Raw genomic sequence first — 14215 nt, 5'->3', positions numbered from 1 at the left:
GCTCTGTCGGTGCCTGCCACAATGCCAGTCAGTTTCAGCGAAGGTCGCATCTGCCTCCATCTTCTATTTAACAGCAGAATAAAGTCTTCCATAAGCAGCTTTTGTAGAACATGATCAATTTAGTAAGGTTTGCACTTATTACAGAAAACCCTGCACACTCTCCCTGACAAGGTCAAATAAATCCAGACCTTAGTTGAAGAAACCACAATTCTGAGTTTTCTGTACAGATAAAGGGTAGGCAATTTATTCCTATCTCTACAACATCCTTCATTTTACAAAGGTCTTGCTTCAGCTTTCCTTTAAAAAGACAGCTCCCCTGCCATGCTGGTGTTTATTTCTAGAGTACTCTATGTACCCCAGGGAGAGGCTGGAGGCAGAACAAACTGAAGCATTATGAACCAGGAACTGCCAATGGCCAAAAATCAGAGATCAACCAAGAAGTGTAACTTGAGTTTCCCAAAGCATGGCACCCATACAACTGAGAGTTTGCAAGATGACTTTAGTGAGCAGGAGAGTACTAAAGAATGTTTCAGGGGTACACAGCATTAGATAACAACATATATACTAGGAAAGTCATCTCTTTTCAGTTCTTTTCAGTCCTGCTTGGGTCAAAGAGAAACTCTCAGTGTGGTGGTGTTAAACCACAGCTGGGCGTGGTGGCTCATGCCTGTAATCCCAGCACTTTGGGAGGCCGAGACGGGCAGATTGCTTGAGTAGAGGAGTTTGAGACCGGCCTGGGCAACATGGAGAGGCCCCATCTTTACAAAAAATACAAAAATTAGCCGGGCATGGTGGCATGCGCCTGTAGTCTCAGCTACTCAGGAGACTCAGGTGGGAGGATTACTTGAGCCTGGAGGCTGAGGTTTCAGTGAGCCGACAGCCTAGGCGACAGAGGGAGACTGTTCCAAAAAAAAAAAAAAAAAAAAAAACAAGCAGTCAATTTAAAGAAAAATGCTTAGTAGGTGACACATGAATATAGCAAAAATCGTGATGGTCATCCTTGAATGGCTGCCACTGAGGGACAAACTCGTGCAATGGATGGCACCAGGCTGGGGGCACCAGTGTGGCAGCTGGCCCTCTCCATCGTGGCTCTTCCACACATCAGCTGGGAGACCTTGGCTTCTTCATCTATTTAATGAGAACATTCAAATAGTCATGTCTGTTCTTTCTTACTTTGGTGACTTAAACATTTCTGGAATTATGCCAGGCAATTAAAGAGTAGGATTTGGCTTGCTCCCACAAGAATCTTCTTTCCTAATAGAGTTCCCAGAACCTAAAACATCACCTGGCAAAGACTTGGTGCTTGATCATGTTTATCGCCTGACTGAATACACTGAAAAAGAAAAACACTTCATTTTATCTATTTATCGTGTAAAGTGAGGCACCCCAGGGTTAAAGACACTGCGGCACAGTGTGAAGCAGGCAATGCCAGGAAGGAGAGCTGGCCATGCTGGCACCAGGGAAAACATACTCTCACATCCCAGGCTCAGGATCCTCTGCCACTGCTCAACACCCAAGCTGTGCATTTGGGGGCCCTTATGTCTGAATACAGTGGCAAAGATTAATTGGATAGGGGACATGTCAGTGGATCCAGATAAACATTACATCAGGGAAATGAAGTTTAATCTGGGGTTAGGAGTAAGGCACATCTCACAATTTTCTTTAATGTTGTCACTGATTTTGAAAACTGGGATCTTGAGTTCCAATATCTTAGTCTTCAGGGTATAAAGTAAAATCCAAGAATAAACAACGTAAAACACTTTCATAGAATCTCATAGACACATCTCTCCTCGCTTCGCCTGACTTACTGATTTCTGTCTTTTTTTCTTTCTTTTTTTTTTTTAGATGGAGTCTCGCTCTGTCAGCCAGGCTGGAGTGTAGTGGTACAATCTTGGCTCACTGCAACCTCCGCCTCCTGGGTTCAAGTGCTTCTCCTGTCTCAGCCTCCTGAGTAGCTGGGATTACAGGCATCTGCCACCATGCCTAGCTAATTTTTGTCTTTTTAGTAGAGACAGGGTTTCACCATGCTGGGCTGGTCTCGAACTCCTGACCTCAGGTGATCCCCCCCGCCTCGGCCTCCCAAAGTGCTGGGATTACAGGCGCAAGCTTCTGCACCTAGCCGACTTACTGATTTCTGCTGACAGTAATTGCATCAGTCTAACCTCCTAGATGCCAATGCATCTTTCATTCTCCTACTTGCTCACCACTCCTGTTAGGCAAAGGTGAAGAGGCACCAGCACTGGAGTCAACTTGTCCAAGTCTAAACAAACTACACTGCCTGATATATGGCAATTTAAACTTAAATTGATTAAAGCCAAAGAAAATTCAAACTTCAGTTCTTCAGCCACACCAGCCACACTTCAAGTGCTCAACAGCTACATGTGGATAAGAACTACCATATTAGACAGCACAGCCTTAGGGGACTTACACCCCTAAAAACTAATACCTAAAAACCCAATCCCAGTTGGGTTCAACATTTACTAGGAATGTAAGGTAAAAAGAAAAATTTTCACCAGGTGTAGGACTTTGTATGATTCGGACCGCAGCTCCCCTCAGCCACCACACTGGGTCCAGGTCCTCCCTTCCTCTCCCTCCTGTTTCTGTAAAGGCTATTCTTTCACACCCCATAGTCCCACCACCCCAGCTGCCAGAGAAATCTTCTCAATTCACACCAGGGATCAGGCTGTGCTGGTCTCATGTCCACCAAATAAAATGTGAACTCTGACCGCCCCATGTAGTCCCAGCTCAACTTCCCAGTCCTGACTCCCACGTCTTTGCCTGCACTCCAAATAACCAGCTCGCGAGCCCCATACAGCTTCATTCTGTCTTCCTTCCTGCTGACCCCTTGGTGTAGAGCACTCCCACGTCTGGCTGCCTGATGAACTCTTCCCTGCCTTCAGAGCCTGTTCAAGTGTCCCCTTTTCAGGAAAGCACTGGGGCCCATGAACCCATGCCTTCCAGACTCCCTTCAAATTCAGAGCCAGGTTCCCCCACATAGTCTTTCAGAACTATTTGCAGGGGGCTTTTAGGGTGTGCGTCAGAGCTTTGAAAACCTTCAGGTGCCAAATCCCTTCCCACTAGACCTACTGATCAGAAAAATCATGCAGCACACTTTGGCCTGCAGAGGGCTTGGAAGCAGGGCTTACAACAGCAGTCCCAGTTTAATTAAAGGCTGCCTTTTGGGGGAAATCTATGGTGGTTAAAATCCATACTCACTCTTCAAAGAGCACAGCCTTCTTTCCCAACTGCTACTGGCTCTGGCAGAAGCTGAAAATGAGATTCTGGAATCACAAGAAATAAAATGACAAAGAATTAACTCATACTAGGGAATATGAATGAAGTGCTAACAGCCGGCCAAATTGCTGGCTTCAGTGAAGGTGGAGCACTCTTTTCCTCAGCACAGGCAAAGTACAAACAGCTTGTGGCTTTATACTATGCCTCTTGTTCAGGTCACCTCCCCCAGTGAGGCAATAAGGCAAACGTGCACAAAGGGCAGGGCGTCTCAGATAATGAGCCAGGACTAGGAAGAATTGACAGAGGTCAAAGAAGAAATCTGGTAAGTAGTCAAGCATGGAACGATAGTTAAAGCTCTCCTCCATCGGGGTTAGGGCTTACCTAAACAGTGTGTTCAGAAAGGAATGGAAGCAAGGCAGCAACCAATGGGCAAGTGAGGATAATATTGTTACCAGAGTGATGGCACTGGTACTGTCAGGGGGGCTGCACCGCTCCAAAACTGGGTTGGGCAGAAGCAGGGAGGCGCTACAAACTGCTCAGCAGCAAGAGAATGAGATGAGCAAAGGAAATGAAACCAGAAAAACCCCTGAATTGTTTCAGATGAATCAAAGAATTAAATATAAAAAATAAAACCATCTAAGTTCTAGGAGGAAACATGAGAATTCTATTTTAAAAGTATCTCCATAGGAAAGGGCTTTCTAAGTAATGTCTAACATCCAGAGGCCATAACAAAGAGTATTAGTTGCATAAAAAAGTTTTTAAATCTCCACATGGAAAGAGATACCATAAATAAGATTAAAATTTGTAAATACATAATAGAGACAACATAGTAATTTCCTTAATGTATAAAGGGTTCCTACAAATCAAGACCAATAACAACAAAACCTAATAGAAAAATGAGCAAATGATCTGAACAGATAATTTACCAGGAGGGAAATACAAATGACTCTTAAACATATAAAAAGATGCTCAATCTCATTTATAATAAGAGATATGCAAATTAAATCTACAGGGTGATGGTGATCTTCCTTTATTGTACTGGCAAAGAACAAGAAGTTTAATACAGACTGTGCTGCTGAGGCTATGGAAAAATAGATGCTCTCATATAATGTACCAATTTGCATTCTCATCAGCAAACTCTACAGATTGCAATTTGGCAAAATCTGTGGCTACGTAAAATGCACATATCCTTGACCTAATGATCATCTCTCTCTTTTTTTTTCTTTGAGATAGAGTTTCGCTCTTGTTGCCCAGGCTGGAGTGCAATGCCGCGATCTCAGCTCACCGCAACCTCCGCCTCCCGGGTTCAAGCGATTCTCCTGCCTCAGCCTCCCGAGTAGCTAGGATTACAGGCATGTGCCACCATGCCCGGCTAATTTTGTATTTTTAGTAGAGACGGGGTTTCTCCATGTTGGTCAGGCTGGTCTTCGAACTCCCAACCTCAGGTGATCAGCCTGCCTCGGCCTTCCAAAGTGCTGGGATTACAGGCGTGAGCCACCATGCCTGGCTATGATCTTTTCTTCTAGGAATTTATCTATGTTTATGCCTGATTATGTGTGAAAACGTTTGCGTAAGAGTATTACAATAGTATTCATAATGGCAAAAGATTGGAAATAATTTACACGCTTACATATAGTGAACTTATAGTTAAGTAAATGATGATACAGCTTTGCAAAGAAACATATATAGCCACTAAATACAAATAGAAATTAAATATAAACCATTTAAATAATGAGACAGTCCTATTTGTCCCTATGGGTAATGACCTCCAAGGTACATTAACTCAAAAAAGCATGGAACAGAAGACAGTGGATAAGAGTAATACCCTAACACTGAAAAACAGAGAGTGAGAGAGAAAATATATTTGTTATGCTTATGTACGTGGGAAATCCTTCTGAATGGACACAAAAGAAATTGGCCATGATTATGGTTAGCACTGGGAAGGGAAACTGCAGGGCTGGGGACAGAGATGAGAGGGAGACTTTTCACTGATACCTTTTGTCCCTTTTGAAGTGCTACTATGTGCATATTTAACGAAAAATTACAATATAGGCTGGGCACTGTGGCTCACGCCTGTAATCCCAGGATTTGGGAAGCCGAGGCGGGCAGACCACTTGAGGCCAGTAGTTCGAGACCAGCCTGGCCAACACGGTGAAACCCTGACTCCACTAAAAATACAAAAATTAGCCAGGCGTGGTGGTGTGCGCCTGTAGTCCCTGCAACTCAGGAGGCTGAGGCACAAGGATTGCTTGACCGCGAGGTGGAGGTTGCAATGAGCCGAGACTGTGCCATTGTACTCCAGCCTGGGTGACAGAGCGAGACTCTCTCAAAAACAAACAAACAAAAAACAAAAAAACAAAAAATAACTACAATACAAACTCCTCAAATAAAGTAGTCCATCTGTATTGTCCAATATGGTAGCCACTAGTCACATGTGGCTGCTTAAAATTAAATTGAAATTAAATAAAATTTAAAATTCGAATCTTCAGCTGCACTAGCCACAAGTCAAATGCTCAACAGCCACTAGTTTGTGGTTATCATATTGGACAGCAGAAATATAGAACATTTCCCTTATCACAAAAGTTCTACTGGCCAGTCCCGGACTCTACACTAGTTCAAGAGGCCAGGCACCGTGGCTCACACCTGTAATCCCAGCACCTTGGGAGGCTGAAGCAGGAGGATCACTTTGAGCCCAGGAGTTAGAGACAAGCCTGGGCAACATAGCAAGACCCCACCTCTACTAAAAATACAAAAATTAGCCAGGCGTGGTGGTGCATGCCTGTAGTCCTAGCTAGAATCCCTTTAACCCAGGAGGCGGAGGTTGCAGTGCACTGCACTGCAGCCTGGGTGACAGAGTAAGGCTCTGTCTCAAAAAAAAAAAAAAAGGCCCATTAGAGACGGCAACCAAATATTAACTGTTTTTCATTATGAGGAAAGAAATACAAATGTGAATGCTGGAAGGATGGAGGATGAAACTCCCTCCATCTCCACACTATGCAGCCTAGCAGCCCACTCTATTAACATTCAATGACTGGCGGACTACTGCCCACATGACTGTCCAAAGGTTATGCCTGCATGGCAGGAACTTTAGTCCTTAAGACTCAAAGTCCAGTACTCTAAGGTAGAAGATAGGAATTTAAATTTTTCAAATGATAAACGTTCTTATTGTTCTATCCTGGAAACACATGACCATCCATAAACCACAAATTCTTATCTCCTTCGTGATTCTGGGAGAGGTACTGATTAGATGGTTCACTCTCTCCTGCTTTGCACCAAAACTCTGACAACTGGTTCCTCATGGGGGTTCTCATTAAAGAACCAGCCCAGCCCACAGTCCCCTCCCTGCTTTGGCCACCTGGGCAGCACTGTGGGAAAGAGAATTCAGCCCAGCCAGGCTGGTCCTGTGGGTGGAGGATCAGAGAGAACCAGAAAGCCGTGCTACCTGATTCTCTAGAGAAGTGACAGGCAGAGGAGGGACAGGCAGGCAGATCAGTCCGAGGCTCAGCTGGAAGGCAGGGGGGTTGTGTATCCTGTGGTACAGCTTTTAACAAATCATGCTGGCCAAGAAGCAAGGTGATGAAACATGTCACACATACACTGACCTGGCAACATCAGCCTCTTTTGTCAGGATGGGGGCTGTGGTGATAGTCTGGAATAACCGCCTGCTTGAAATCATGTTTAAAACAAGACAGCCCTACAGAAATACAAGCCAGTCTCCTGCTGGATAAAACAGGAGCCAAAAGCCACTTGACCCTTTACGTTTAAGGAGCCCAAAGTCTTCAGGCTCTAGTGGAGCCCACAACAGGCTTTGATTTGAACGTTTCTCACTGAATTAGCATGAGTACATGTAACTGTCATCAGCCAGGTCACCCCTCAAAGGTGAAGTGCTAGAAAGAGCATCATGTAAGTGACTATTTGCCACATGGCTGAAAGGAATTAAAATAGCCCTCTATTGGTGTGCTATATAGCAGATGGAAAAAATAGAACCTCAGCACCCAAAACATTCTCCTGTTGGCCAAACTTGCACTTTTAAATAAGAGGAAAAGCAGGGAGATCAAAGACAGTTTTGCCTTTCTTTTTTTGTTCTTTCTTTCTTTTTCTTTCTTTCTTTCTTCTCTCTCCTTCCTTCTTTCTTTCTTTTTTTTGAGACAGGGTCTCCCTCTGTTGCCCAGGCTAGAGTGCAGTGGCACGATCTCAGTTCACTGCAACCTCTGCCTCTGGGGTTCAAGCAATTCTTGTGCCTCAGTCTCCCCAAGTAGCTGGGACTACAGGTGTGCACCATCATACCCGGCTAATTTTTGTATTTTTAGTAGAGACAGGGTTTTGCCATGTTGGCCAGGCTGGACTTGAACTCCTGGCCTCAAATGATCTGCCTGCCTCGGCCTTCCAAAGTGCTGGGATTACAGGCATGAGCCACTGTGCTCAGCCTGGGGTTTTGCCTTTCTAAATGAGGTGAAGTGGCCAGATGCAGTGGCTCAGGGCTGTAATCCCAGCACTTTGGGAGGCCCAGGTGGGCGGATTACCTGAGGTCAGGAGTTCGAGACCAGCCTGGCCAACATGGTGAAATCCTGTCTCTACTAAAAATACAAAATTAGCCAGGTATGGTGGCAGGCATCTCAGTAATCTCAGCTACTCAGGAGGCTGAGGCAGGAGAATCGCTTGAACCTGGGAGGCAGAGTTTGCAATGAGCTGAGATCGAGCCATTGCACTCCAGCCTGGGTGACAGAGCGAGACTCCGTCTCAAAACAAAACAAAAAAAAAGGAGGTGAAGTTGGTCTACAGTACTTTCCAACTGCAGGAACAAAGTTGATGTTAAACAAAAAAATGAGCCCTGTTAATAAACACTGGCAGGCTTTGGCAGGACAAGACTTCTCACTCCCAGCACAAAGTCTAGCATTCAGGGTCCTTGTGCACTGATCCACATCTTCTTTCTAGCCAGAATCTCCTTCCCAGAGACCTCAGTAGCCCAGGAAGATAAACACCAGAAAAAAGGATATATGGTAAAGCCACACTCAGAATTTCATAGTTAAAAGTAAAATACAGTTTTGTTTAGTACTTTATCTAAATAAAACAAAAATCGAATCTATCTATTTTAAAAGCAATAGTAAATACCAAGCAAAATTTAGGTTACAATTACATTTCTGTGCTTTTTTTTGCTTTTTTTTTTAATTTGAGACAGGGTCTTGCTCTGTTGCCCAGGCTAGACTGTAGTGGCGCACTGCAGCCTCGACCTCCTGGGCCCAAGTGATCCTTCCACCTCAGCCTCCTGAGCAGCTGGGACCACAGGCATGCACCACCACGCCCAGCTAATTTTTCATTTTTTGCAGAGATGGGGTCTCTCTATGTTACCCAGGCTGTTCTCGAACCCCTGGCCTCAAGCAATCCTCCTGCTTTGCCCTCCCAAAGTGGTGGGCAGGCACGAGCCACCATGCTCAGCCCTGTGCGAATTCTTAGAACAAAGACTTCATTTTGTGTAGACTCTTTTACGGTATGATAAGTCCTTCCAATTAACATTTGGTCATCACTGTGCTATCATAAAGAAGCCATTTTTGCAAAAATATCTTATGGCCTCACTGATTTCTCAAGGGCCTCTCAATTGTTTGATTTTCAAGTCTCTCCCCTAAAGGAGTGTTCATCCCTTCTCTTTATCAATTGTTGGCAGATCTCACATTGCCAGATCCTATTATTGCTTTGACACATCATCCAAGCAGTTCCTTAACATCACTGGCTTTGATTTCAAGAGATATTGCCTCTCTTAAGAGTTGCAATTTTACTTTCCATTGTTTATGTCATATTTGCAAAACATCTGACGACCAGGCAGAGACGCAGAGCCAAAATATGGATGCTCCTGGAGCCTGGCTGACCACCAGGGTTGAAAACAGAGGGATAGATGATGAAGTAGGACTTAACTTTGCACATGGCAAGTCCATTAATGAATATTTTCCTGTTATGAAAACTTCTGCTTCCCAGCCAGGCACAGTGGCTCACACCTGTAATCTCAGCACTTTGGGAGGCCAAGGCAGGTGGATCACTTGAGGTTTGAGACCAGCCTGGACAACATGGTGAAACCCTGTCTCTAACTAAAAACACAAAAAAATTAGGCAGGCGTGGTGGCACACACCTGTCGTCCCAGCTACAAAGGAGGCTGAGGCACAAGAATGCCTTGAACTCAGGAGGCAGAGGCTGCAGTGAGCCAAGTTCGTGCCACTGCGCTCCAGCCTGGGCAACAGAGTGAGACTCTGTCTCAAAAAAAAAAGAAAACTTCTGCTTCCCATCCACAATCTGGAAACTGCGGAGAATCAGATACTAGATACACTTAATAATCTGACTTTCTCATGACTATACCTGCACTGGCTTTCTGTTTTTTTCTCTATTTTCTCCACTCTCTACCTATAAGACGTCCTCTGTCTACCCCCAGTTCTCCTTTAAAAAATCTTTCTGGTGGAGCTAGAAGTTATCTCCTTCACTTAGACTTTCCTCAATCCCCCAGTAATCTCTATTTCATCCTCCATGCCCCACAGTATTTGGTATGAACACTTCTCTCTCAAGACACTTGAGATTTGTATCTCGTGATAAGAACACTGGCTGGGCGGGACTGTAAACTAGTTCAACCATTGTGGAAGACAGTGCAGTGATTCCTCAAGGATTGAGAACTAGAAATACTATTTGACCCAGCAATCTCATTACTGGGCATACACCCAAAGGATTATAAATAATGCTACTATAAAGACACATGAACACATATGTTTATTGCAGCACTATTCACAATAGCAAAGACTTGGAACCAACCCAAACGTCCATCAATGATAGACTGGATTAAGAAAATGTGGCACATATACACCATGGAATACTATGCAGCCATAAAAAAGGATGAGTTCATGTCCTTTGTAGGGACATGGATGAAGCTGGAAACCATCATTCTGAGCAAACTATTCCAAGGACAGAAAACCAAACACCGCACAGTCTCACTCATAGGTGGGAATTGAACAATGAAAACACTTGGACACAGGGTGGGGAACATTACACACCGGGGCCTGTCGTGGGGCAGGGGGATGGGGGAGGGATAGCATTAGGAGAAATACCTAACGTAAATGACGAGTTAACGGGTGCAGCAAACCAACATGGCACATGTATACATATGTAACAAACCTGCACGTTGTGCACATGTACCCTAGAACTTAAAGTATAATAATAATAATAACAATAAAAAGAACACTGGCTGGACCCTCCACTAGGCTGCAAGCTCCTCAAAAACAAGTCTGACCACATCTTTGCCTCTGTCACAGTACTTAGCATACACTGTGCCTTGCCCTTGGCAGACACTTGGTCAATGCCAAATGATAAGCTGGAAAGCTGAAACAAAACCAACTGCTGACTGAGAAGAAACCACTCCCTGCACCCATCACACAGCCTTAGGGGGAGAAGTCATGAATCAACAGGGCTGCCCCACCAGTGTCAATGCAGGCATTCCTTCACTCTGCTCATATGGCCACAAATGAAAGAAACATTCGTCAGAGCAGTATAGTTTTAGAGGTTTTAGTTTGGATGGGCAGCTGGGTCCTAGAGAAATTAAGCAAGCTGCTCAATGTCACACAGCTTTCTCTTCCTCTCTGCTAATTCACTGGTGGTTGGCAGTGGCTCTCAGCATGATGTTGAAGGCCACTTAGGATTTGGTGCTGCCCATCTCTCAAGGGTCATCTTCTTCTATCACCTGCCTATTGCCTGCCCTCCATCCCTTCCAATAATGATCTGCAACCCCCAGACATGCCGTGCTCTCCCACACCTCCGGGACTTTGACACACCTGCTCCTCTCTCCCCGGCACGCCTATTCTCCCTCTCGCCTGGCGAGCTCCAGCCCATCCTAAAAGTCTTAGCTATTAAAGCACTGCCGCTCTCTGTAAATGCTCCTGACAGTTCAGTTTTGCAGCTCAACAACCTGGGTTCAAATCTCTGCTCTGCCATTGACCACTGTGACTCTGCTCTGGTCACATGCTTGCCATGTGACTGTAGCAAGTGACCTAACCTCTTAGAATTCTACCTCAGTGTGGGGATGAAATGGGATGATGCAAGGAAACTGTTCAAAGCAGTGACAGGCAGATACTAAGCATTCACTCTGCACTGCTGGGATCTTGCCTGACTTCACAGGCAGAGTTAGGCAGCCCTGCCATACCTCCACCACCCTGCATGGCCACTGCTCAGGCCTATTGAGATGCCTGAGTAGTCTCTGGGCAGGGTCTGCATTGCCATCTTTATACTCTCAGAATCCAGTCCCATCCCCAGACTTCATCATATGTAACGTATGAATCCTTTTCTGGGTATATCACAAGGCAAACACCCAATGCCAACAGCCAAACAGCCACAGCTTCTGGAAAAATGCCTAAGAGCAAAGGCTGCTGTTAATATATTACTTAAAAAGAAGAGGATCCCAACCTGCAGCAGTGTAAGAACCTCTGCCCACACCTCCTGAGTGCTGTCCTGCTCCCCTGAATCAGCAGTTTCCTTGGTACAGCACCAGAGAGCCGCACAGAAGCTCATGACAGACCCCAAACCCATCCAGCCACAGGCAGCAACACCCCAAGTGGCCTCTAGGATTGGGAAGCGTCAAATAGGATCCAGAGGGTTTCTGAGGGTCCGGTTTAGGAGAATACTTTGATCTTCTTGGAAGAGGCAACTACATGCAAGGTCAGAAAGGACTTTAATGTTGTGAAAATCATATCCAGTTTCAGTTTCTCAACTGTGGCACAAGTGACACTGGAGGCCATATAATTCTTTGTTGTGGCACCGTCCTGTGCATCGTAGGACGTTTAGCAGCATCCCTGGCCTCTACCCACTTGATGTTACCTACAAGTTGTGACAACCAACAACAACAACAAAATTTCAAAATTATCCAGGTTTGGCCGGGCGCGGTGGCTCACATCTGCAATCCCAGCACTTTGGGAGGTAGAGGCGGGCAGATCACCTGAGGTCGGGAGTTCGAGACCAGCCTGACCAACATGGAGAAACCCCGTCTCTACTAAAAATACAAAATTAGCCAGGCGTGCTTGTGCATGCCTGTAATCCCAGCTACTCTGGAGGCTGAGGCAGGAGAATTGCTTGAACCCGGGAGGCGGAGGTTGCGGTGAGCCGAGATCGCGCTACTGCACTCCAGCCTGGGCGACAGAGCAAGACTCCGTCTCAAAAAAAAAAAAAAAAATTACCCAGGTTTGGTGGTGCACACCTGTAGCCCCAGTTACTTAGGAGGCTGAGGTAGCAGGATTGCTTGAGCCCAGGAGTTCAAAGTTACAGTGAGCTAAGATTGCTCCACTGCACTCCAGCATGGGTAACAGAGTGAGACCCTGTCCCTTAAAAAAAAAATTTTTTTAAGACTCAAATAGGAGAAATTTTTAAAGAATTTTTTTTCAACTTGCAGAACTAGCTTCCTGGCATCTTCCAAATATTTAGCTTTGATGGGGATGTCTTGCCTCTTTTCTTTTGAACACTCATCACGGTAATAATTGATCTAATCACCAAAATAACCAGGAGTTTCATAAAAAGTATGACATAGCATGCCAGGTGTGGTGGTGCACACCTGTAGTTCTAGCTACTTGGGAGGCTGAGGTGGGAGAATCACTTGAGCCCAAGAGTTCCAGGTCAGCCTGAGTAGGAAACACAGTGAGACTTCATCTCTAAAAAAAAAAATTTTTTTAAAGAATATGACATAGTGAAGCTGATTTCCAATCTTAGCTAGCCTACTAGGATAAACACTCATTCTTTATTTATTTATTTTATTTTTTGAGACTGGGTCTTACTTTTTCACCTAGGCTGGAGTGCAGTGGAGCAATCTCAGCTCACTGCAGCCTTGACCTCCCAGGCTCAAGCAATCCTCCCACCCCAGCCTCCCAAGTAGCCGGGACTACAGGTACGCAACACCACTCCCAGCTAATTTTTTTTTTTTTTTGGTAGAGATGGGGTTTCACCATGTTGCCCAGGCTAGTCTTGAACTCCTGGGTTCAGGTGATCCTCTTGCCTTGGCCTCTCAAAGTGCTGGCCACTTTGAGGTGTGAGCCCACCACACCGAGACAAAACATTCATGCTTGCCTTTCTTCCCTCCAAACCCAAAGATAATCTTTGAGTCTAACTTCTCGCCCCCAGGATAGACCTCACCCAACGCATACTGCAAACCAGGATCACCTCTAAGGACAATTTTTTTCTCATATCAAGTTTCAGAATTACTTCCCAGTTGCACAAACTGCATTCCCATCTTTTACTCTAGGTTTGCAGATGCTCACAGAATCAAAGGTCACACATTTTAAAAGCTAAAAAAACCAGAAGGGCACTTCTGTCTCTAACTACAAAGACAATGGATAATTTGGAGTTGACGAAAGCCACAGAATGTGTCGAAAAGGCAAAATAATAAAAATAATAAAAAGATGAAAATAGAGAAAGTCTCATAGGCCTTTCTGAGCACACAAAATGGTTAATTTCTGTAGAGTCAGTGTGAGCCATTTATTAATTATTTTTTTCCAGTAATTCAAGGTAGTGGTCAACTACCACTCTTCATAATAACAGCTGCTGCTTTCTGAGTGCTTAAAACATGCTGGGCCCTGTGCATTATTTTATCTAAATATTGCCACTACCCTTTAAAGTGGGTACTATTACCAGAAGCTGAGAGGCCCTTGCTGGTCTGAGAAAAACAAATTAGTGCTAGAAACACAGGTGATTAATTTCTGTTATTTCTAATTTCCTATATTATAACAATGTTCTTGATAAGAATTTGTTGAAATTGGGTAAAAAGTCTAGTGGTTCGAGGTCGGGTTGGGGGGGCGGTTGGGGGAAGGGGGTGGTTCTGAGGCCAGACTCACTTCGTGTCTTGGGAAGGTACCACCTCTGGAAGCCTCATATTCCTGCTCTCAGGAATGGGCACAGCGGTGGTACCTACCTCAAGGGGCTGTTGGGGAAAGTATGGCAGGTAATTCTTTTAAGGGGCTTAGGACAGGGCCTG

General features: G+C 45.0%; 1 protein-coding gene across 6 annotated transcripts in view; it reads right to left on the bottom strand.

Annotated features, from left to right (window-relative positions):
• ABHD6 (abhydrolase domain containing 6, acylglycerol lipase) overlaps positions 1-14215 on the bottom strand; it is a 56943-nt gene that overhangs the window by 41576 nt on the left and 1152 nt on the right. For 2 of the 6 annotated variants that reach the window (XM_005265334.5, NM_001320126.2), the window contains exon 2: positions 3217-3281. The exons of 2 other annotated variants lie outside the window; for them this stretch is intronic. The gene's annotated coding sequence lies outside the window, so the exon portion shown is untranslated. Of the gene's footprint in view, positions 1-3216; positions 3402-14215 lie in introns of those variants that run through there. 2 more of the 6 variants (XM_047448629.1, XM_047448630.1) reach the window with 1 other exon arrangement.

This window comes from Homo sapiens, chromosome 3 (assembly GCF_000001405.40).
Source record: "Homo sapiens chromosome 3, GRCh38.p14 Primary Assembly".
In the NCBI taxonomy this organism is placed as follows: Eukaryota; Metazoa; Chordata; class Mammalia; order Primates; family Hominidae; genus Homo; species Homo sapiens.
Note: the sequence above shows the minus strand (reverse complement) of the source record. Positions and strands in the feature narration are given on the sequence as shown.